This window comes from Homo sapiens, chromosome 11, assembly GCF_000001405.40.
Source record: "Homo sapiens chromosome 11, GRCh38.p14 Primary Assembly".
Classification (NCBI taxonomy): domain Eukaryota; kingdom Metazoa; phylum Chordata; class Mammalia; order Primates; family Hominidae; genus Homo; species Homo sapiens.
The window spans coordinates 92,534,336-92,556,014 of record NC_000011.10 but is presented as its reverse complement, the minus strand read 5'-3'; the positions used below and the strand labels follow the sequence as shown (position 1 = coordinate 92,556,014).

At 37.8% G+C, this 21,679-nt stretch overlaps 1 protein-coding gene across 12 annotated transcripts in view, besides 2 other annotated features; it reads right to left on the bottom strand.

Moving 5' to 3' along the window:
• Window positions 1–21,679, bottom strand: part of FAT3 (FAT atypical cadherin 3) — a 671,656-nt gene that overhangs the window by 340,459 nt on the left and 309,518 nt on the right. The gene's annotated exons all lie outside the window — the stretch shown is intronic.
• Window positions 4,700–5,274: an enhancer, noted in NCBI's record as "OCT4-NANOG hESC enhancer chr11:92283907-92284481 (GRCh37/hg19 assembly coordinates)". NCBI's record gives its function as "activates a minimal SCP1, AML or CMV promoter by ChIP-STARR-seq in naive H9 embryonic stem cells {active_cell/tissue: H9 hESC(naive)}" and the evidence as "EXISTENCE:reporter gene assay evidence [ECO:0000049][PMID:30033119]".
• Window positions 5,275–5,849: an enhancer, noted in NCBI's record as "OCT4-NANOG hESC enhancer chr11:92283332-92283906 (GRCh37/hg19 assembly coordinates)". NCBI's record gives its function as "activates a minimal SCP1, AML or CMV promoter by ChIP-STARR-seq in naive and primed H9 embryonic stem cells {active_cell/tissue: H9 hESC(naive and primed)}" and the evidence as "EXISTENCE:reporter gene assay evidence [ECO:0000049][PMID:30033119]".

Sequence of the window (21,679 nt, the reverse complement as noted above, 5' to 3'; positions counted from 1 at the left end):
TAATCCACAATAAACAGTACTATTATCAGTCCTATTTTTAAACCGAGCAGACCGAGGCTGTTAAGGTTTATGCTTACCTTGCCTGGTCACAAGCCACTAGTGGCAGAGCTGGGATATAAATGCAAAATCACACTCTTAACCAATAGGCTATAGAAAGGAACGACATAATGTAAGGTCTGTGGTGAGTGTGGTAATTTTATGTGTGTTTGTGTGTTTTTCATTAAAAACACAGAACTGCATAAAAGCCTTGGAATGAGTCTGTGAATCCTGCTGATTCTGCCAATGACTGAGCAGGGCTCTGACCCAGTCTTGAGGAAGAAGAGTAGCTGCCAGGATTAGTCAACACAGGCCACTGCTTTCCTTGTCTGCTCAGACACAAGGCACAAAGGGGCAGTGATAAGAGAGCAAGTTCTCTGCTGAGCTTGGCTCTGGGTGTTAGCTGAAAAGGAAATGACCAGAAGGTGGCCTAGACACACCTGAATGAACAAACCAATACAAGCCTTAAAGAAAAACTAGATTTGGCCCAGGAGTTAGAGGTACGCAAACTGTTATCCCAGAGGGCACTTGGCTTAATAAAAAAGAAAAACATCTTCAAATAACCACAGCTTCCCATTTCAATTTAAAACTAATTTTAAGGCACACAGTTTAAGTTATTTCCAATGCAAAGTTACATAATATTACTACTAACCGTAACCAAAGGAAACATATTTTCTCATTTCCCACTCAGCTATTGAAATCGTTAATGCTGCAATACAATCCCTATTACATTATTGTAGTGACAATCACAGAATCGCAGCATCATCTCATCAAGTTATCTCATATTCCAGGAAGAGAACATTTTTCTCTGGGTTTGCAGTACCTGCAAATTTTCAATTGAAAGCACCAACTAGTCCTAGATATAATGGGAAAAAATTGAAACAAGAGTTGATTGGTGTGTATAGTGGGTGTGTGTGGTCTCAAAGCTTTTGTCATGACCATAGGATTGAAAACCATTGCTCTGTAGTAGTATTTTCTTCCTAAGATACTGGCAAATTAGCACAGTCAGACAAATGAATAAAATGATGCTGCTGGCGCTTTAATCCCCAGTGGCATCTTCTCTCGCAGATTATGAGCTTCAGTGCAGCAGACACGGCAGGATCAGAAGCTGCAGAGAAGATGCTTCACACTTCTGTAGTGACAAGCGCAGCAGTGCACATGGCCATCAAAGAGACTGGCAACAACGCACCATGACACAGATAGCACACGGTTCTTCATAAGGAAAGGAGACTTTGCCTGTAACCAGCATGTATGGGCAATAGACAATATAAGGCCTGGCACAAAAGCGGGGCAGAGAATATACTCCTGACTTTTACATTATGTTTAGAAGAAGTGAGATCAAAATTGGTATTAGAGTTAGGCTATAACTGCTACCAGCATTGATCTCATGCACTAAGCCAGGGGTTGCTCCCTACTTCTACAGTATCCCCTCTAGTAATGGCTTTGAAATAGACAGTTAATGCTGCCAACTCCTCCATTCTTTTTTTTTTTTTTTTTTTTTTTTTTTTTTTTTTTTTGAGATGGAGTCTCACTCTTTCGCCCAGGTTGGAGTGCAGTGGCGCAATCTCGGCTCACTGCAAGCTCCGCCTCCCAGGTTCACGCCATTCTCCTGCCTTAGCCTCCCAAGTAGCTGTGACTACAGGCACCTGCCACCACGCCTGGCTAATTTTTTCTATTTTTAGTAGAGACAGGGTTTCACCGTGTTAGCCAGGATGGTGTGGATCTCCTGACTTTGTGATCTGCCCGCCTCGGCCTCCCACAGTGCTGGGATTACAGGCATGAGCCACTGCGCCCGGCCTCCTCCATTCATTTTCTTTCTTCCCTGAACCAAATCCTATCCTGCCCTGCATCTCACAATAACAAAGAAACAGGGAGCTGGACACGGTGGCTCACACCTGTAATCCCAGCACTTTGGGAGTCTAAGGTGGGCAGATCACCTGAGGTCAGGAGTTCCAGACCAGCCTGGCCAACATGGTGAAATCCCGTCTCTACTAAAGATACAAACATTATCCAGGCATAAAAGTGGGCTCCTGTAATTCCAGCTACTTGGGAGGCTGAGGCAGGAGAACCACTTGAACCTGGTAGGCAGAGCTTGCAGTGAGCCGAAATTGCACCACTGCACTCCAGCCTGGGCAACAAGAGTGATACTCTGTCTCAAAAAAAAGAGAAAGAAAGAAAAAAGAAAGAAGGAAGGAAGGAAGGAGAAAGAAAGAGAGAAAGAGAGAGAGAAAGGGAGAAAGAAAGAAACAACGAAAAAGGAAGGAAGGAAGGAAGGAAGGAAGGAAGGAAGGAAGGAAGGAAGGGACGGAGATTCTAGAATTTATGTCTACAATTTTCCCATCAATGCTCCCTAGAGTTTAGGTCTGCTCCCAGTGTGGCCAAGGGCCCAAGGCCCAGGTTCCTTCATTGTTTTGCACAGAAACATCTGGTTTTAATGTGTACTACCAGCCTTCTCACATTCTAAAGTTGAACAGATGCCCGGTAACCTACAGAACCCAATGTCAGAACACACTAGCCATGAATTCCTTCTTTCTGGAAGAAACAGCCCTCCAAACTCTAAGCTCTTTGAAGCTAATACTTGTGCCTTATTCATCTTTGTATCTAATGAAGTAGAGATGTGAGATACATCTTTTGGCACTAAGCAGGAACTCTGCAAACATTTGTGATACCTGATATTGGGCTTATTATTACTTCAAAAAGAAAAGATAGAAAATATCTTATATATGAACAAGATGTGACCTTTGATCTAAGAGTAAAGAATTGATGTTTATAGTTGCAAAAATACAACTGGAATATTAATTTTTCGCAGCATTATTGTAAAAGGCCATAAGGTGGTGATATTACTCCTTGAAAAACCTGTTTTGTTTTTTTGGCTTAGGAATGAGAAGAAGCTGAAAAGTGCTCTTGTTTTTCTGTCTCTCAATTTCTTTTTTTTCTTTCTGTCTCTATCTTCCTCTATTTCCTTCCATATTTCCTCTATTTCCTTCCATATTTCCAATTCTTTTTTCTTTTCTTTTATTTTTTTTTGTTTGAACGTGTCTCACTCTGTCACCCAGGCTGGAGTGCAGTGGCACGATCTCGGCTCACTGCAACTTCCACCTCTGGGGTTCAAGCAATTCTCCTGCCTCAGACTCCCCTGTAGCTGGGATTACAGGCACGTGCCATCATGCCTGGCTAACAATTCTTTTTTTTTTTCTTTTTACTGTAAGTTTTTAAGATATTATGAAAGTGTCAGGGACCATGTTAGATAGTGCTAAACATAAACAGTAGGCATTACAGCAAAAATGTCAACAAATCCTGAGACTTTAAGATTAAAGGCTTTGTTATTTATCTTGTAAATAGCAGACCATGAACTTGAATTCAGAACTCAGTAATCTAAAAATCATAACTCATTTTACCATATGAACTCATTTTCATCTTTCCCTCTCTCTCAACAGAAAATGAATAAAGTACATTCCCTATTTTATTGGCAATAGTAAATATAAGTTCTAGCATACATTTTAAGAACCAAAAATAGAATATTTTTTGTTTCTTTCTCTATAAGATTTTGAAAAGTGAGCTTGTATTTACTAATATAATTCCCATTTAATATTTTCCATGTGAGTATGTGACTTTTACAAAGAGCACTCCAATCTAAATTATTTACAATTTATTTATTCACATTGTAATTCATTAAAAACACATCAAATCTTTATTTTAAGAGAGAAAGAATGTGTCTCTTTAAGTGACTTGTCCATGATTTTCTACTGTTATTCAATAACTGCTTGATGCTGAGAAGGCAGAAATTTTCATTTGAATTCTTGTATTTAAATTTTTACATCACTGGCTGCAACCACGGGGTATGGGCAATTTGTAATGTTAGCAATTTTTTAGATGCTGAATATTAAAATCTACTTTTGTATTTCAAGGATTATTTCTAATTACATGCACAATTGCTGATCCATCTGCCTACTACATAGATGTCTGTGGTTATATATGCTTGAATAATTATTGAAAATTAAATAACATCATAAACAGTCAAATTAATTTATCTGAGCATACCAAAGGCAGGAAGCCTGCTCTAGTATAAAACATTATTTGCCTGGAGAAACATAAAGACAGATTTATCTTATACACCAAATTTCTCACATTCTATTCTAACTTGATGGAGTTTTCTTTGTTTTTGTTTTTGTTTTCTTAAAGAAACCCGAAAGTTGAAACACAAAACACTTGAGAAGTATTATGGAATAGCAACACACCTTAGCTAGATGAGTAATTTAAAATTTTAGTCTAAATATATTTCACTGTCAAAATAAGTCCATAGTGTGTCTCCTCTAATAACATAACCAAGTACAGCTGTTTCAGTAAGAAATGGTTTCTTTGAATGTTTTAAGATAATACAGAATTGTAAAAGGAAAGATTCCTCACTTGTCTTCTATTTCTACAATAGCAGGAGTCATTGTAAAATACAGAAGGTTGAACTGCAGGGTCTATGAAAATTGAGTTAATCCAAATTTCAGCAGAAGGCTTGAAGAAAAGTTTATTGATGAGAAAACACACACACACACACACACACACACACACAAAACAAAAAAAACATGGGACCAAGATCACCTAGGCCCAAGTTGCAATCAGATGGAAGGCAGAGGAGAATGAGGCCCCATATTTTAAATGCAACCAAGATGGATAGACATTTACAGAATAGTTTTCCCAGAGTAGAGAGATTTAGAAAGCCCTAGAGAATGCAAGTTTGAACCTTGTATTTCTACTACAGGTTCTTTCAGAAGGTGAAATTCAGACAGGATCCAGATACCTGCTGTAATTGAGGTATTTGCTCACCTCCAATTGGTCTCTAACTAACCTTTGGAGCTCAGCCCTGCCTCACAGGGATCAGATCAGGGCTGTGAAGAATAATGGGTGGACAGGTATCAACACTCTGTCTGAGACTCAGCCTCATCTTGGCCAGATAGTTCAGAATACGGGGACTGGGCGATGCTTAAAGACTGAGGATGGTGTGATTTCAAGGTGATATCAATAAATCAAGAAGAAGAGGGCTTCCAAATCAAATTTAATACCCAAGGAAAGATTTGCATTTCAATATGGAAGGGCACTCCTTTTGCTAAGCACTTTAAAGACCCAAATATACCCATGCCAGGGACATTTTAGCATGAAGCCTATAAAGAAGTACACTTGCACACAAAACACTCTCTTTTAAAAAAAAAAAAAAAAGATAAATGTGGCAACCAGGTGAAAGGAACAAGGTAATTCTAAAAGTCCTAGCTTTCACTTGGCAGGAGATTTGGGTAATAGCTTGCCAATTGCTGGTAACTGCTGCCAAGTATGAGGACTGCTGTGCTCAAATTGCTGGCAATGGCCACCTATTGTTTGTGAATGACTGTCTTAGCAGGGGACTCTGCAGAGAGGCTACTCAGGTCAGCAGGGAGGAGGATTTGGCCAATACTCCCAGTGGTCATCATAGTCTAATGCAATGAAGTCACAAGACAGCAGTTTTAGAATGAGGACAACTATGAAAATTTCCCTGGAAAAGATTCTGCATCTTGAGCCAGTATATATATTTAAATCTGCAGATAGATATATCCTCTGCAAAATAAATTACAAAATAATATCAATAATTATCCACTCTAATCACTGAACATTTACAACATCACAGTGAGCAGCTTCCTGGCTCTTCTCTCTTGGCTGGTGTTCTATTTCTTTAAACTGAGTGGTAATACAGTACACAATGCTCATATATGTGAAAAAAAGACCCCTTTTGGAAATTTTGCTTGGGGAACTCAAATACATACACCTTGACATTTCTTTTACAGCCTAATTTCTTAGCATTATCTGTGAAATACCATTTAAAGTGATTTAAAACAAAAATTGGCTTTTAATTCTTGAAAGTTTTTCCCTTTTCAGGTCAAGAGACAATGCAGACTCTACAAGCTCTAGAGTATATCAGAAGTGGGATTAATCCTAACTCTTCCATTTACAGGCTGTGTGATTATGGCCCATTTCTAAAACTCTCTGAGCTTCAGTACCCTTGTTTATAAAATGCAGCTAATCATAATGCCCTCCTCTGGCTTATTGGAATGAAATGAAATGAGAGTATATATGTAAAGCGTTCCTATTACTAAAAAATGTTGGGTATCATTAATCTCTCTATCCACGGTGTATTGTACAAAAAAACAGGATCTTGAGTCAATGAATCTGGCCTTGGGTCCTGATTCTTCTATTTACTAACTGACTCTGGCAAGTTAGATTTCTAAACATTAATTTCTTCAATGACAAACTTGGAGTGATTATATAATGCCACATTATATAATATCACTTCAGTGTGTTATTGTGAGCATTAAATAATGAATGCTAAGTATGTTTGGCAAAGATAAACCAAGATATAAGTTATCATCATCATCATCAACCTGTACCTTAAGTAAATGCCAAAGTCATAACATTGTCATATGTCTTCCTCTACCATAAACTGAGTCTCACTGCATAATCCATCTTCCAGCTCAATGGGGCCATGTAACCGAAGAGGAGAGAAAGGTACTTCAATGACTGCTGAAATACCAGTGAAAATGGTGGTAAGTGAAAAATAAATCCTTAATTTCCAGCATTGTAAGAGTAAATGATTCCTTTATGATTAAAGCAGCAGAAAACAGTTTGAATGGGAACCTTGGCTTGAAATATTGTAATCTACAACTAGTTCTGCTTGAATCAAAATACGGATTATTGCTGGCCCTAAATGAAAACGCCCTGATAGTGGGGATACTATCCAGGACAAGAAAAAATGTGAATGAGTCTGTAAGGAAGTGGATATCCAATAGTATCTATTACCTTTCTCAGAAGAAGGGGGGACAATTATGACATTTTTCAGCATTTAGAACCATTTGGCACCCAGAAGAAGTAATCTATAAAGGTGTTTTCAGGCTTATATAGCTTTAGAATCTGACAGTTAACATTAAGATCTTGGCAGTCTAATTAGCCAGGTTTTCTGCTTTTAATCAATTGACTTAATATACTAAATAAGAGAATATAAGCTTGATGCCAACAATACATGGTTGACACTGTTGGCCAATAAAAACTGCAAATGCCAACTTCTCTCACTTCTTTATTAAATTTTAAATTCCACACAAATAACCAGTCTTATCACTTCAGATAAGCTTTGGTTTAAATTACATTTAAAATATGTTTTTCACTTAGTAAGGAAAATACCCCCTCTCTCACTTCTTCCCTACCTTCCCAAGTCAAAAACAAAGCAAAACAAAAGACTTTTTCAGAAAGATCTTTTACTGAGGTGATTCATAAAAGTTACACTGCTATAGGTTTCTAGGGAAACTTAGCCAATAATCTATGTGCCAAGTACTTTGTACAAATTAATTTTTAAAATTACAAAATGCTTTGAAAATTGTTATAAGTGCCCTAAAATTTGAAAAGTTATCATCATCAGTTCAGGGAAAAGGCATGAACTTTTTGAGGTTTAAGCAACATCATTTTGCGAATTTCCTTTCTTTGCTGCTCCCTTTTCTTATGAAAAATAAAAAGATAATTCAAGGACTGAAAGGGAAGCCTAAGAATGTCCTTGTATTTAATCAGAAGAGCTTAAGCAAACAACTGTGCCTGAGAGAGAGTCACATGGAATAGACCTTCCCTAGGGAGGGTATTCTGTCAGGATGACCCACTGTTCAAAGGTCTCAAGAGCATAACGGGTGATAAAAGCCCTTGATACGACAGTATAAAATCCACTTCATCTCCATTTTCCTGAGGGGCACAACAAGGCTTAGGGAAGCTAAGTAACAAGTCACCAACATGGTAAATGACTGGACTATGGATTAAGTTCAGATATATCTGACTAAAAAGCCTGTAATTCTTCTATTTCTCATCAGACAGGATCGTTCTGCGTATACTGAGGCCTTGGGATTAATAAAACACTCTAAGGTCTCATCTGGAACAAATATTCTATAAATCAAGTGCTCAAGCTAGTACTGCTTGTAGATTCCAGCCAAGGCCGAAGATGTCTACCTGTCTCCTTTACCATGCCTCTCCACACAGGGCCAGGAGCCCAAGAAGCCAAGGAGATGTGCCCCCCAGAGCCTCTGCACAGCCCTCCACACATCAGCTAAATCTAGATTCTAGACCAAACTCTAGTTCCAGGAATTCTGAAATTATCTGCTCAAATGCCCACCTACTCTGTTTCAGGGCCAAGTGGGTCTCTTCACATGATCCATTATCTCTAGGGCAGCCCGTGCCTCATACTACCCAGGGCAGAAGGTTGGCAGAAGGATGGCTGTTGATGAGGGACAGAGCAGAGTGTGGGCCTGGGGTCTCTACATACATGCATGTGGTACACAGCTGGGGGTGAGAAGGGGAGAGGGCAGAAGCAGGGGAGGTAGGGCCTGCTCTCCTCCCTCTACCTCGTGCTGGTACTCAGAGGGCTGAAACAACTAAAAATTTCAAACCTGGTCTTTCAGGTTTGAACATCTGTCAAAGTTGGAAGACAGAACATATTTTATTAGTTTTATTTATTACATTTTACAGTTTTACACTTGCCGTATGTAGCCTCCCTTTATTCTCTTTTTGATCCCAGACCTGCCAATTTTAAGGCTATAGGCATGTTTTGCTTGGCTGGCACAAAATATTGCTTCTTTTCAATTTGAACTAACATGTATAATAATCAGGGGATTTCACAAGAAAACAGTACTTTGTAGAGTCTCTTGAAGAATGCAATATGGCAACTTCAGGGCAACCTTCCAGAGTCAATCATCTGTTGGGATTAAATAGCGGCTGCCCCCTTTTAGGCAGGGTGAGACTGGCTATTTGGCCACCTTTATTGGTTTACAGTAAAGCTTCCAGCCAGAACTTCAAAGCCAATGCCCTGCTTTCTTGGGAGAAGCAGCTCGATGACCAGCCACATTTCACTCCCTAATGTTACCTATCTGCTCATGTAGGCAGCATAAGGTCTGAGCATAAGACCCTTGATCTAAAGAGACCTTACGTATTATGTGAATCGTCTCACCTAATAGGATCATCTGGGGAAATTAATCTAATTGAATTCGTTTTGTGAACAAGGAGGTGTCATTTGGGGTGATTGAAGATATAACCCCTAGCCTCACAACTCTCTCATTTAAAACAAGAACATGCAGTAATTACTTAGATTGGGAGAGAAGCCTCTTAACTATTCATCTTTCCACTGTTCAGGGCAGGCCAACAAGCAGTTAGTTAGCGGAGTTCTTTCTGATTGTTCTCACTGGTAGCCCCCGTTCCCCACCCACTAAAAGAGCCTCATTGAAAAATAATGAATCCAAACAACAAGAATATAATTTGCATCCCCAAGTTGGAAGCTTAATATTCAAAAGAAGGGCAATTTTATTTGTGCTTCACTATGTACGGTCATTTTTTTAAATATTGAAAACTCAGTGGTGACCCTAATTTCAGTTAAGATCAGAAAACACCAGCATATGGTGCATGAAAGCAAAATTAATTATGGCCTCAACCTCCCTTCTTACTTCTTTCTCCTCATCATGTATTAATCTTCTGGGTACTGTTCTACATGTTAAAATACAGAGTATGAATTGCTGTTAATATGCTGTTGCCAGGTTAAAGTAGTAGAGAATGTGAAGATGTCAGAAAACAAATCCCAGAGAGAAATGAAACACTGTTTTCCTTAGCTCATGATTACCATACAAATAGACTCCTTCTGAATTTAAATTACAATGACAGAAAAATCCTTTACGTTCCCTTAAACACACTGACAGGGATGGAAGGGCAGAGGATCTGCACTCTGTAGATCGGGATATTATCACCACCCCTACAGTTTCAGATGCAAAAACACAATCCCACAACACAAGCTCGCTTTGAAACTTGGAAAGTATCATGTTGCAAAACATTACAGCAGACGACATTTCTTGAATTAAAAGCAAAAATCTGTTATCTTCAACCACAAGGAAAAGTTATTATAAACAACGTATGGAAAAATCTAACAAGCACGTGGAGAGAGGAGTAGAGAAAGAATGACAATTTCTCTAGTAGAGCTGTGAATGTTTCCAGGATCAAAAGCTTAATTTTAGAAATGCCCAGTCACATTCAAATATCAGTTATGAACTCAAGATGGAAAGGTTATTTGCTAGGCAACTACATGTCCAGAGGTGGCTCTGAAAGGGCTTTGCTGTATAGCATAAAACACCCATGACTGGATATGGGATAACGCTGTCTTAAATAGATGCTTGGCAAGGCAAATTCCCAAGCAAACCAGGACAGTAGAGAAAAGGATGTGCCTGGCTGTCTCTCTGCTTCCATGCCCTCATGAGTGCCTTGCCTTTTCTACCCTTGAGCAATTTACCAACACCTATCATGTTTAAAGAGCAAGTGCAAATCTTACCGACTACCTGGCCCTTGGCTTGGAAGATTAATGCATAGCCTGTAGACTGACTATACATTTGAACCACATTACTTGTTATCTTTGAGAGAGAAAATTCTAGCAAATTTATTCTATCACTAATTTAGCTATTCATTCATTTATTCATTCAACAAATATTTAGTAAATACCTACTATTGGCTAGTCACAGTTCAAGAAACTATATCCAATGGTGAACAAAAGGACAAAAACTCTGTATCCCTGGCTCTTCCAGTCTGTGAAAAAATAAAAGATCAACAAAATAAATAGGTCACATATATACCTTGTTAGATAGTGATGAGCGATAAAAAGAAATAAAGCAGGGAAGGGGCACATGAAGAAATGAGAATTGCAATGTTGGATTGGGTAACCAAGGAAGATCTTGTTAGAGGTGACACTGAGGAAGGCCTTGAAGAGAACTAGGGGACCAGTTACATGGACATCAAGAAGAAGAGAGGTTCAGGCAGCAGGAACAGCAACAGCCTTGGGGCAAGAGTGTGCCTGAGTGCTTGGGGACATGAGGAGGGCAAAGAGGAGTGAGCAAGAGGACAGAGAGGTAATGAATGGTTGCACGGAGGAGGAAGGAAGGCAGCAGATAAGACCTATCCTTAGAGGCTTTGACAGACACCAAATTTCTTTAAGCATCTGTAAAACAGTGAGCATTATCAACACATGCCTCCAACAGCTATGAAGAGTCAATAAGACTTTAGCACAGGGTCTGGCACACATAAGTCTCAAAACCTGTTAGAGCACTAGTATCTTCTTTGTGATTGCACCTAACCATAGGAAAGGCTGTTCCCTCTCAACCAGGAGCTCCCTGAGGGCTGAAGCGGTTGGCGATACCTTCCCTGTTCCCAGAGGAGAATGCTGAACCCTGGAAGCATCTGGAGTCTTTGTGAATCCTGAGAGCTTTCCTGACTGGGGGCAGGGCTCTGGGGCACCCATGCTACAGCTGACCCTGTTAAAAGTCCTGCTTTTATAGTGCAATTTAGTACTTGGAATGGGGGTGGCAGGTGATGGCAGACACAGTTTGTCCCAGGGCACATTTGATTGGCAGTTATAACAAACTGGTAGTTCAACACTTGCTTCTGTTTGTTTATTTATATTTATTGATACTTATTAGATGTACATATTTTCAGAGTACATGAGATAATTTGAAGCATTCATATAATCAAGTAAAGGTAATTAGGATATCCATCACCTGAAATATTTGTCTTTTCTTTATACTAGAAACATTTGACTTATTCCCTTCTAGCTATTTTGAAATGTACAATTGATTACTGTTAACTATAGTTACCCTACAATCTATCGAACACCAGGTCTTATTTCTTCTATCTAAGTGCATATTTGTAACCATTAATCAATCTCTCTTCAATATATATCTCTGAAAAGATATCAGCTTCTCCCAGTTAACATCACTTTAGAAATTTAAACATTTTAATATTTAACTGGGTACTATATGCCCCAAAACAGAACCAATAATTTGAGATTCTTCTCTACACAAGGGCTGACTACAGGGATCTCACACAAAATAGCTTCCCTAGTACGTAGAAGTATTGTTTTACAATCATTACTGTCTTGACAAATAACCTAGAATGCAGGGAAAATTAAAGCTATAAAGGGTAAGAAACTATTGTTCAGTAGTGATCAATAAAAGTGAAATGAAGGACTGCAAAAACAGAACATAAGTCAGCAGAAGTGTGCTCTGACAGACAGACCTTACCTATCTTGAGGGAAGATGTGTTACTCATTTTGTGCTTCCAGGGCCTAACACAGTGCCTGACATAGAGTAGGTTTTTCATATCCATTTGTTAAATTAATTCATCCATAATTAATATACAAATCAAGGCAGAACAATATCATCAACTCATTAAAGGTCGGAGAGTGTTGAATTTAGCTTACTTCTGATGAGTTCATGTTACAGATCAAACCCATAAGGCATACAGTGCACTATGTGCACTATTTGCATAGCTTTACAAATATTTTGCTTATAATAAGGTTTACAGACATCTAGCCCTAGTTTTACCACCACTCCTCTCCCTTTAACTATTAAAACAATGATTGGCTGCCATCAAAAATAAAGGATCTACATCAGGTGGTTTAGTCACCTAGATTTCTCTGCTGCTTAAAAAGAAACTTACATACATTAATTGTACCTATTTAGTGGGAACAGTATGATGTGTTGATACAAGAATACATTGTGTAAAAATAAAATCGAGCAATTGGCATATCTATCACATAATATACTTACCTTTTTTGTGTGGTGAGAACACTCAAAATCCTGTCTTCTAGCTATTTTGAAATATATAATGCAATACTGGCAACCAAAGTCACCCCAATGTGCAATAAAACACTAGAACTTATTGCTTCTATCTAAGTGTAACTTTATACATGTTGATTAATCTCTTCCTATCCTCTCCTTTCCTCTATTATCCTAAGCCTCTGGCAACCACTATTCTACTCTCTATTTCTATGGGATCAACTTTTTTAGATTCACCATGTGAGTGAGATCATGCGGTATTTGTCTTTCTGTTCCTGGCTTATTTCACTTAACATAATATCCTCCAGGTCCATCCACGTTGCTGCAAATGACAGGATTTCATTCTTTTTTACAGCTGAATGGTATTCCTTTTTGTATACACACCACATTTTCTTTACCTATTTACCCACGGATGGACACTTAGGTTGGTTCCATATCTTGGCTATTGTGAAAAGTGCTGCATTAAACATGAGAGTGTAAATATCTCTTCAATATACCGATTTCATTTCTCTTGGATATCTATCCAGTAGTAGGATAGCTGGATCATATGGTAACTTTATTTTTTTTTCAGGAATCTTCATACTGTTTTCCATAATGGCTATAATAATTTATATTCTCATCAACAGTGCATAATAGTTCCCCTTTCTCCACATCCATGCCAGCATTTGTTATTTTTGTCTTTTTGATAATAGCCATTTTAATTGGGGTGGGGTGATATCTCAATTTGCATTTCTCTGATGATAAGTAATGTTGAGTATTTTTTCATATACCTGTTGGCCATTCGTATGTCTTCTTTGGAGAAATGTCTTTTCAGGTCTTTTGTCCATTTTCTAATCAGAGTTATGTATGTCTTTTTTTTTTGCTGTTGAATTATTTGAGTTCCTAATATACCCTATTTATTAGCCCCTTATTAGATGCATAGCTTACAAATATTTTCTCACATTCTTTAAGTTTTCTTTTTACTCTGTTGTCTCCTTTTCTGTGCAGAAGCTTTTAGTTTGACATAATCCAATGTGTCTAGTTTTGTTTTTGTTGCCTGTGTTTTAGGGTCTTATCCAAAAATTCTTTGCCCAAACCAATGCCATGAACATTTTCCCTATGTTTTCTTTCAGTATTTTTATCATTTTGGGTCTTACATTTAAGTCTTTAATCCATCCTGAGTTTATTTTTGTATATGGTGAGAGACAGGGGTCTAGCTTCATTCTTTTGCATGTGGATATTCAGTTTTCCAAGTGCCATGTACTTAAGAGGGTGTCCTTTCTCCATTGTGTGTTCTTGGCATTTTCGTTGAAATTTTAGTTGGTTATAATGTCTGTTGCTTTTCATTCTGAGGTACAAAATTCTAACTTTAGAGAACTTTTCTGTAGTTTCCCTAGGTAGACTTTCATCATGTAAAACAGGTGATTCTAAACCTATCATAGATAAAGTGTTTTAATAGTGTGAAGCACCATATAATAATCATGACTGCAATTACTATTATGATTTCTATTAGCAAAGACCAACTCCCGTATTTCTCCTATTTATAAAAGTAACGGGCATTTTCCAAATAATTACCTGCTTTCTCCCCCCACATATCAAATCGCATTAAAATCAAACATAATAAAATGACAGTTTCACAGAGGTAGGAGGGCACCATGGCACTGTGTTAACCATGCCCAAGTCTTTAACCATTTCAGTTAATGTTTAAGACCTGGCACAAACTTGATACTGCAATTCCCAAAGCACTTTGAGAATGTGGGGTAAACCAGTTTAAAAAGAGATTAATGATCTCTTAATTTTCTTTTATGAATACTTATGAAATTTCTAGTACTATGTGAATTCTGACAACTTGCAGACTATGTCAATATAAAATTTCCTTCAATTCCTCAGAGGCAAGTGAATCCAGAGATGACATTTTGAAAACAGTTCAAATGTCAAACAGGAGTTTAAACAAAAGCAGTTAGGAGAATTTCTGCCATCATTCAATTTCAGAAAGGTATAAGAATCTTTTGCTACAAAAATGAGTTGAGAAATCCCTGCTCAGTATCAGTGATGCATATTATTCAAAGCATGTATTCATTTATTTATTCATTCATTCATTCTGTATTACCTTAGAGCATCTGTTGAGTATAAAGTACACACATGCTTCCATCCTTGGAATGGATAATAATTTTCTTATCCTTCATTGCACCCTGGTACACACCACAGTGCCTAGCACACAGTAGGTGTTCAATAAATAACACTGAATGTTGAGCGAATAAATGAATGAGTGAGTAAGTAAATGAGTAAGAAGTACTCTTTTCTCTATTTGGGTAAATCTTATTTTCTTGTAACATAATTGCCAATATATTTCTTATGCTATGGATGGCCTAAAATAACAACAGAACAGTTGGCTTTGCTTCCCCTTTTTATTTCCTTTTCCTGTAGCTTGAATATTAGAAACTAGAAAAATGCACCAGAAGAAAACTAGAAATCATTGCACAGAGAATCCACCCACTTTCCTTTAGCTGGTAGTGGTCTCTGGAGATTGTGAAAAACATAGTTCTGTAATTATATGGAAAGCTTAGCAACTGGGATCTGTGTCAAAAAAAACAAAACAAAACAAAACAAAACAAAACAAAACAAAAACATGCCATAGTTCACTTTAGGACTCAAGGCACAAGGGCACCAAGCATGAACACTACTTTGAAGGTATATGAACAACTTGCATGAACACTACTTTGAAGGTATATGAACAACTTGAAGACACAGAAATTACTGAAATCCAAGAGATCTGTCATGGTCAATAGTGAAACATTCGTAATTTGTAAGATTTCTCCAACAGGAGTCTCATGAAAAGAAGCCTCACTTACTTTCTTACCCTCTATGATTAATTTCCAAAAAAGTAGGCTTTTAAAATAGCTTTTTTACAACAATCTTCCTTTAATAAAAGTGGGCCAGAATGGTGTGGTCCCACCTGGTGTTTATACAGAGATGGCCACTTCACCAGTGCAATCAATCCAGGAGAGGAGCCTCTGATCCCGGAAATAAATGCAGTAAAGCTTGGCTACTGACGTGGAGGTACTTTCACTCTATGGGAGGAGTCTTCAAGGTCACCCTTCAGAGCCTAGTGATTCTCAGCCTACTTACTATTCTAATACCTTATTTATGGGATGGCTCCGCAGATGAGAAGCAGCAAATTAGAAGGCAGAGCCCTGGAAGAAAGAGGCGTCCTGAGAACAGAAGTGTATGCTGGCAAGCTGAGCTCAAGGGAGGAGACCCAAATATTACTGCACTAGATATCCTAGACAATAATGAACAGTCCAAGTGAAAACCTTGTATGCATGATGGGCTACATGATTTGCAGGGCTCAGCGCAAAATAAAAATGTCAAGCCCTTTGTTCAAAAATTGTGAAGAATTTCCAGACAGTGACAGAAGGACACCAAGCATGTGGCCCTTCTAAGCACAGGGCCCTATGCGATGACATAGATGGCAGGCCCATGAAGCCAGCCCTGCTTTTATCACTTTGTTCAAAAGATTATGTTTGAAAACTGAAAGACACATTAATACACTTTAAAAAGTGGTCCAGAAATATAATCTTTTTTGTGTGTGTTATATGCCACTCAAAATGTTAAACATCAGTTATCTGGAATAACCCTGGGCACAGATAATTCTTCTGACTTTGGAAATAATAGATATGACTAAAATTCCAAGAGGCAACTTAAATAACAAGTCCAAAAATTCACATTTACACACAGGTTTTTCTTTTACTGTGAGGTGCTTTTGTCTTGTAAACAGCCTGTTCGTTCTTTAGGCCTGAGAAGTTTCCTGTTTTTTGTGTTCCTCCCACACCTATGTACACAATCCCAAATCCGTAAAGGCTTATTAAATCAGAGTTGGATGAAAGCACAAAATAATTTAAGTCATTTACTAGCTATTACAACCCAGCAAAAGATTGATAGAGTTCTACTGAAAACATCTCTAATATTTCTAAACATATGCAGGCAAATATAAATCCACCAACTATATTTGATTAAGTATAAAAGTGAGAATTTGGAGACTGATTATCTGAGTCCATTTTAAACTGAAAGTCATTTCATTGGGCAATAAAAATACTTAAATATGAAAATTATAGAAATATGTCTAAATCTAGTTTCCTAATAAAACATTTTAATAAATATCCCCATTTCCCGGGCATGAATATCATTTCTTCAGAAGAATGCATTTCTCACTATGACAGAAAACAATTTAACTCAGTAAAAAATGAACAATTTAGTATGTACATAGTCAAGATGAAGCATGTCTTTATAAAATAGGAAATTTTACAAAGAAGAGAAATTTACTTAAGTGGTGGGAGGTAAAATTGGATTTGTCTTGGTTAACTGATGTATCTGCAAAGGCCACACATTTAAAAATGGTCATTGGCAGAGGCTGAGCGTTTTCTGCCTTTAATAGTCTGTTTCTAATGTGATGGATTTATTTTACATCTCCTCACTCATGTTCTCAGAGGCTTTCCTTCCTAAAACAACCAATAAATATTATAACCATTCATTATTGCCAGAAAAAAAGGTCCCATAAGAACCTTAATATTATTTACTTAATCTCTTCATTTTAAAGCTGTGTGGCAGTAGCAATAAATGTCAGTGCATGGTGAAATTATTCTGAACTGTGAGGTCTTAAAGGGGTAAAGTCCTTGTTTTATTCATCCTTGTACACCCTGTGCCTAGCATTGTACCTGGTTTATAGCAGGCACTCACAAAACATGAGTATGTAGTATATATCAGAGACTTTCAAGGCATTTAATCAGATTGATTATTCATCGATTTTCAAGAAAAGATTCTTTACAAGCAATGCATTTAATAATAGCTATAACAGTTAACATTTGTTGAGCACTTTGTATGTGCAAGGCTAAGCTAAGTGCTTTATAAAATACAGTAGCCCGCCTAATTTCCTCAGCATCTCAGTTAGTATACCCATTTTCTTGATAGGGAACCTGAGCTATACCAAGTTAAGAAACTTGGCTATTGCCTTATGGGTAGTATGTGAATGAAATGGGCTTCCAACTGAGAGGATTCCATCCTTCTTGTGGGTGTACTGGTGAATTTCACAGGGTAAAATTCTGAGAAAACAGGTGTTTATCATGCAGATCTTGTTCAACAGGTTAAAGATAAGCAGAATTGTCTAAAATAGAATAATACACTTAATAGAATTGTTGGCAATTTTTATAGAACACTATAGATAACATTTAAACCAGCAAATATCCATCTAAGAACTATTAATAAAGAGAGACAGGGCTTAATTCACATACATGCTGGAGATCATGACATTTTAGATTTTGATCCACAAAATTTCACAAATGAAAGATAAAAAGTGATGGCCAACATCCAAATAGCATCGATGAAAACTCCCAGCAATAACATGACTTATAAAGATAAATATCTTTCCCTGATATCTCCCCCACTTACCCAACCTAAAGGCTTCCTTCTTCCACTCTTTAACAAAATTGTGCAGCAACTGACATCAGGGAATAGCTCTTCTTTCCTGAGCCTCTCTCCTGACTGGGGATCCAGTTAGAGTCTGTTAAGATATTTTTCTTAAATAAAGGGAAATCTATTTCAAACGTTGACAGCAAAATTACGTATTATTATTACAAGGGTATATTAGGGAATTTAAATGCAAGGAGCATAGCTGAGTTTCAGTAATGCCTATCAGAGTTTGTCTGTTGTCTGTCTGTCTGTCAGTTGCTTCATGCACATAGGCACCCTACAGTTCTCAGGTTTATAACTCCACAATTCCACCACACCCAGAAATTATCTCTGAATCCCAATAATAAATTCCTGGAAGAGAGAATCCTGGAACTAGTGTCTACCCCAATCTAACTGGCTGAGACAAGGAGGGAAAGACTGGGGGTCAGTACACACAGGAAAGGAGGCTGCTAAGGGGTATACAGATATCACCAGAGTTATTTACAGCAAGGTATCTTCTCTGTGAGGTTTCAAACCTGCTGCTCCTTTTCACTACACCCTTGAGACTGTCTTCTCCTCTCATGTTCAGCTCTTCTCCAAGTCACCAAGACCTGATTAACTGCATTTCTATCATCTCTCCCACCAGTCTCCTTTTTCCCTTCACTTCAATACCATTCTCATATATAGACTCAAAGACTGTCAGAGATAGAGACGGTCTCAGGGCCCTCAATGGCAAATAAATGTCATTTCGCAAAACCAGCTCCCGCTCAGGGTTAGGTTGAAATGGATGCAAAGCATGAGCATGTATGAAAGGCCATTATAATTGATTAATGATGTCTACGTGGGAGTAGGAAATGCTGTAGCAGTACACACAGCAGGTATTGATGGTTTTATTGTTGCTCAAACTCCTTGATTTATAGGTGAGGATTCTGTGGCCTATAGAAATGAAGTAAACTTGTCCACTGTTAATAATAGTGATAGGGTCTGGACTAAAATCTGGATAAGCTATGACTACCAGTGAACTTTCCAAGGTGTCATATAATTTTACTCTTGGGAAGTTGAAATATTGAAGACAAGGAGAGAGGTTTCTAGGAGTTTGAGAGAGGGTCCTTTGTTTAGCCCCATCACAGTCCACTTATCAGGCACAACTTAATTTAGAGAACCACATATATAGAAATCAACAGATGATCACAATCTTACAAGATGAAATGTAATGAACCCAGGTAAAATGTTCTTCATAATTTGAAAAGACGAACTGTCTAAGGCCTTAATCATACAATGTGGACATTGAATTAGCTAAAACAAATTCCGTCCATATGCAGATAATATTGAACGTTTACTGAGAGTATACTACATGCAAAATACCCTTTAAAATACTTTACATATCTTAACTCATTTAATGTTAATAGCAAGCCAGTTCATTAGTTGCTATAATTATTCACTTCACAGAGTAAACTGAAGCTCAGAGAAGTCACTTGCCCAACATCACATGGCCAAGAAGCTGGGATCAAAATGCAAAGACATTTATTTCTCATGTCCAAGCTCATGATTACTACTCCATCTAGCTTCTTTCCCTCTCAAGGTTATTATGAAGCCTAACTATGACTATGTACAGCAAAGTAGAAAGCAAATGTGTCTTTCTACTACAGAGCAACAGGACTGCTATCAATAACTCAACATGTGTTGGTTTTATAATTTTATTGTTAAAGTTCCATATGCTTTCCCAGAATAATCTACCTCAATATTAATAAAGTTTATGGATTTTTAAAACACTTACACACTTTTATAAGAACGTCAAGAAGCTAAGAACAAAATCACTCAAAGATGACAAAAAAGGACAAGATCAGAATATAAAGTGGTAACAATACTAAAACTGGACTTTAAGTTCTCACAATCAATGGATAAACTACTGTTCAAACTATAGAAACTATTCAGATAGCAACTTCAATGCTTTTTTAAAAAAGTGCTTTCAGAAAATTGCTTTAAAAGACTGAGAAATGACAAAATGAATTAAACTGATGAGATCCTGATTTATGAAGCACACTGAATGCCAGTCAATATTAACTTCTACGTGACCTCATGGCCTTCTGTAAAAACACTCCTGTAAGAAATGATGGTGTTATCCATGGGTTATCTTTCAGAAGTCTTGAAATGACTATAGTAATGCAATGACTTAGAAACAATGAGAGACTTAGAAGTCTCTCATCCAACTTCTACCCTTTTAGAACAACCCAGATAGTTAAATTCAACTAGATCATAAGTACTACAACAACAAACAAAAAAACTATCTAGCTAAAACCAAGCTTGAGTGGTTCAAAAACTGCTAAAGTTCTTACCATTTTGTCTAGTGAAAAGAGTACTGCACTAGGAGTCAGTGGTCCTTCATTCTGCCATGGGGTCTTCCTCCCTCCTTTAGGAGAACCTCACCTTCACAGCTATTCTCTGAATTGCACTCATGTTAGCTTCCTAGGGCTGCTGTAACCAAGCACCACAAACTGGGTAGCTTAAAAGAACAGATATTTATTCTCATAGAGTTCTGAAGGCTGAAAGTTCACAATCAGGTTGTTGGCAGATTCATGGTCCCTATCAGGACCCTAGGGAAGCATCCTTCCCTGTTTTTTCCTAGCTTCTGGCAATCCTTGGAATTCCTTGGCTTGTGGCACCATCACTCCAATCTCTGCTTCTAACTCCAGTCTCTGCTTCCATCTTCTCAGGGCTGTTGTTGGGGCCTCCAACACAATAACCTCAAGTACAGCACCTTGGCATACGGAGTATTTTAAGCTAAAGGAAACTGAGAAAACTACAGAAGCATAAAGGTATCTCTGACCTTACCCTCTTATTTCTTTTAAAGACCCTCATGTGACAGGTGTCCTGCCTTATACCTAGAGGGAAGGAATGTTACACAAAAATGCCAAGAGGAATCTACACAAAGAGGCCTTGCTACATTGCCCCTTATTACCATTAGGATATACGCTCTTGGTCCAAGCATACTTCTACACAACTGTCCATTTTTCATCAAACCTAAACGTAAAAATAACACGGTTTTCTCTTGGCTTTGGGTTTTCATTTCTGAAGACTCCTCTGTCTTATGTGGCTTCAGTTAAATACATTTGTATGTTTTTCTCTTGTTAGCCTGCCTTTTGTTACAGGTACTTCAGGCATGAATCTTGTCTTCGGTGACGAAAATGTTACTTTTTCTCTGCACGTTGTCTTCCTTCTGGGTCTGTGTCTCTGTGTCCAAATTTCTCTCTGTTTATGAGGACACCAGTCACTGAATTAGGGCCCACACACATCCAATATGAATTTATTTTAACTTGGTAACATCTACAAAGATCTTCCTTACCAAATAAGGTCACATTCACAAGTGTGGGCTGGGAGTTGTGTGTCTTTTTGGGGAACAATTCAACCCCTAACACACCTATAAAACAAAGAATGTGTGCTTAATCATCTGAAAGACTTTCCCCACAAAGTTCTAGGATCATTAATTATTTATTTAGTTTGCTCATGTTTTTCAAATTCAATAGCATTTATTTTTAGCATTAAGTCCATCAATCAGACCAATCCTAGCTCGGCACTGACCAGCTGGG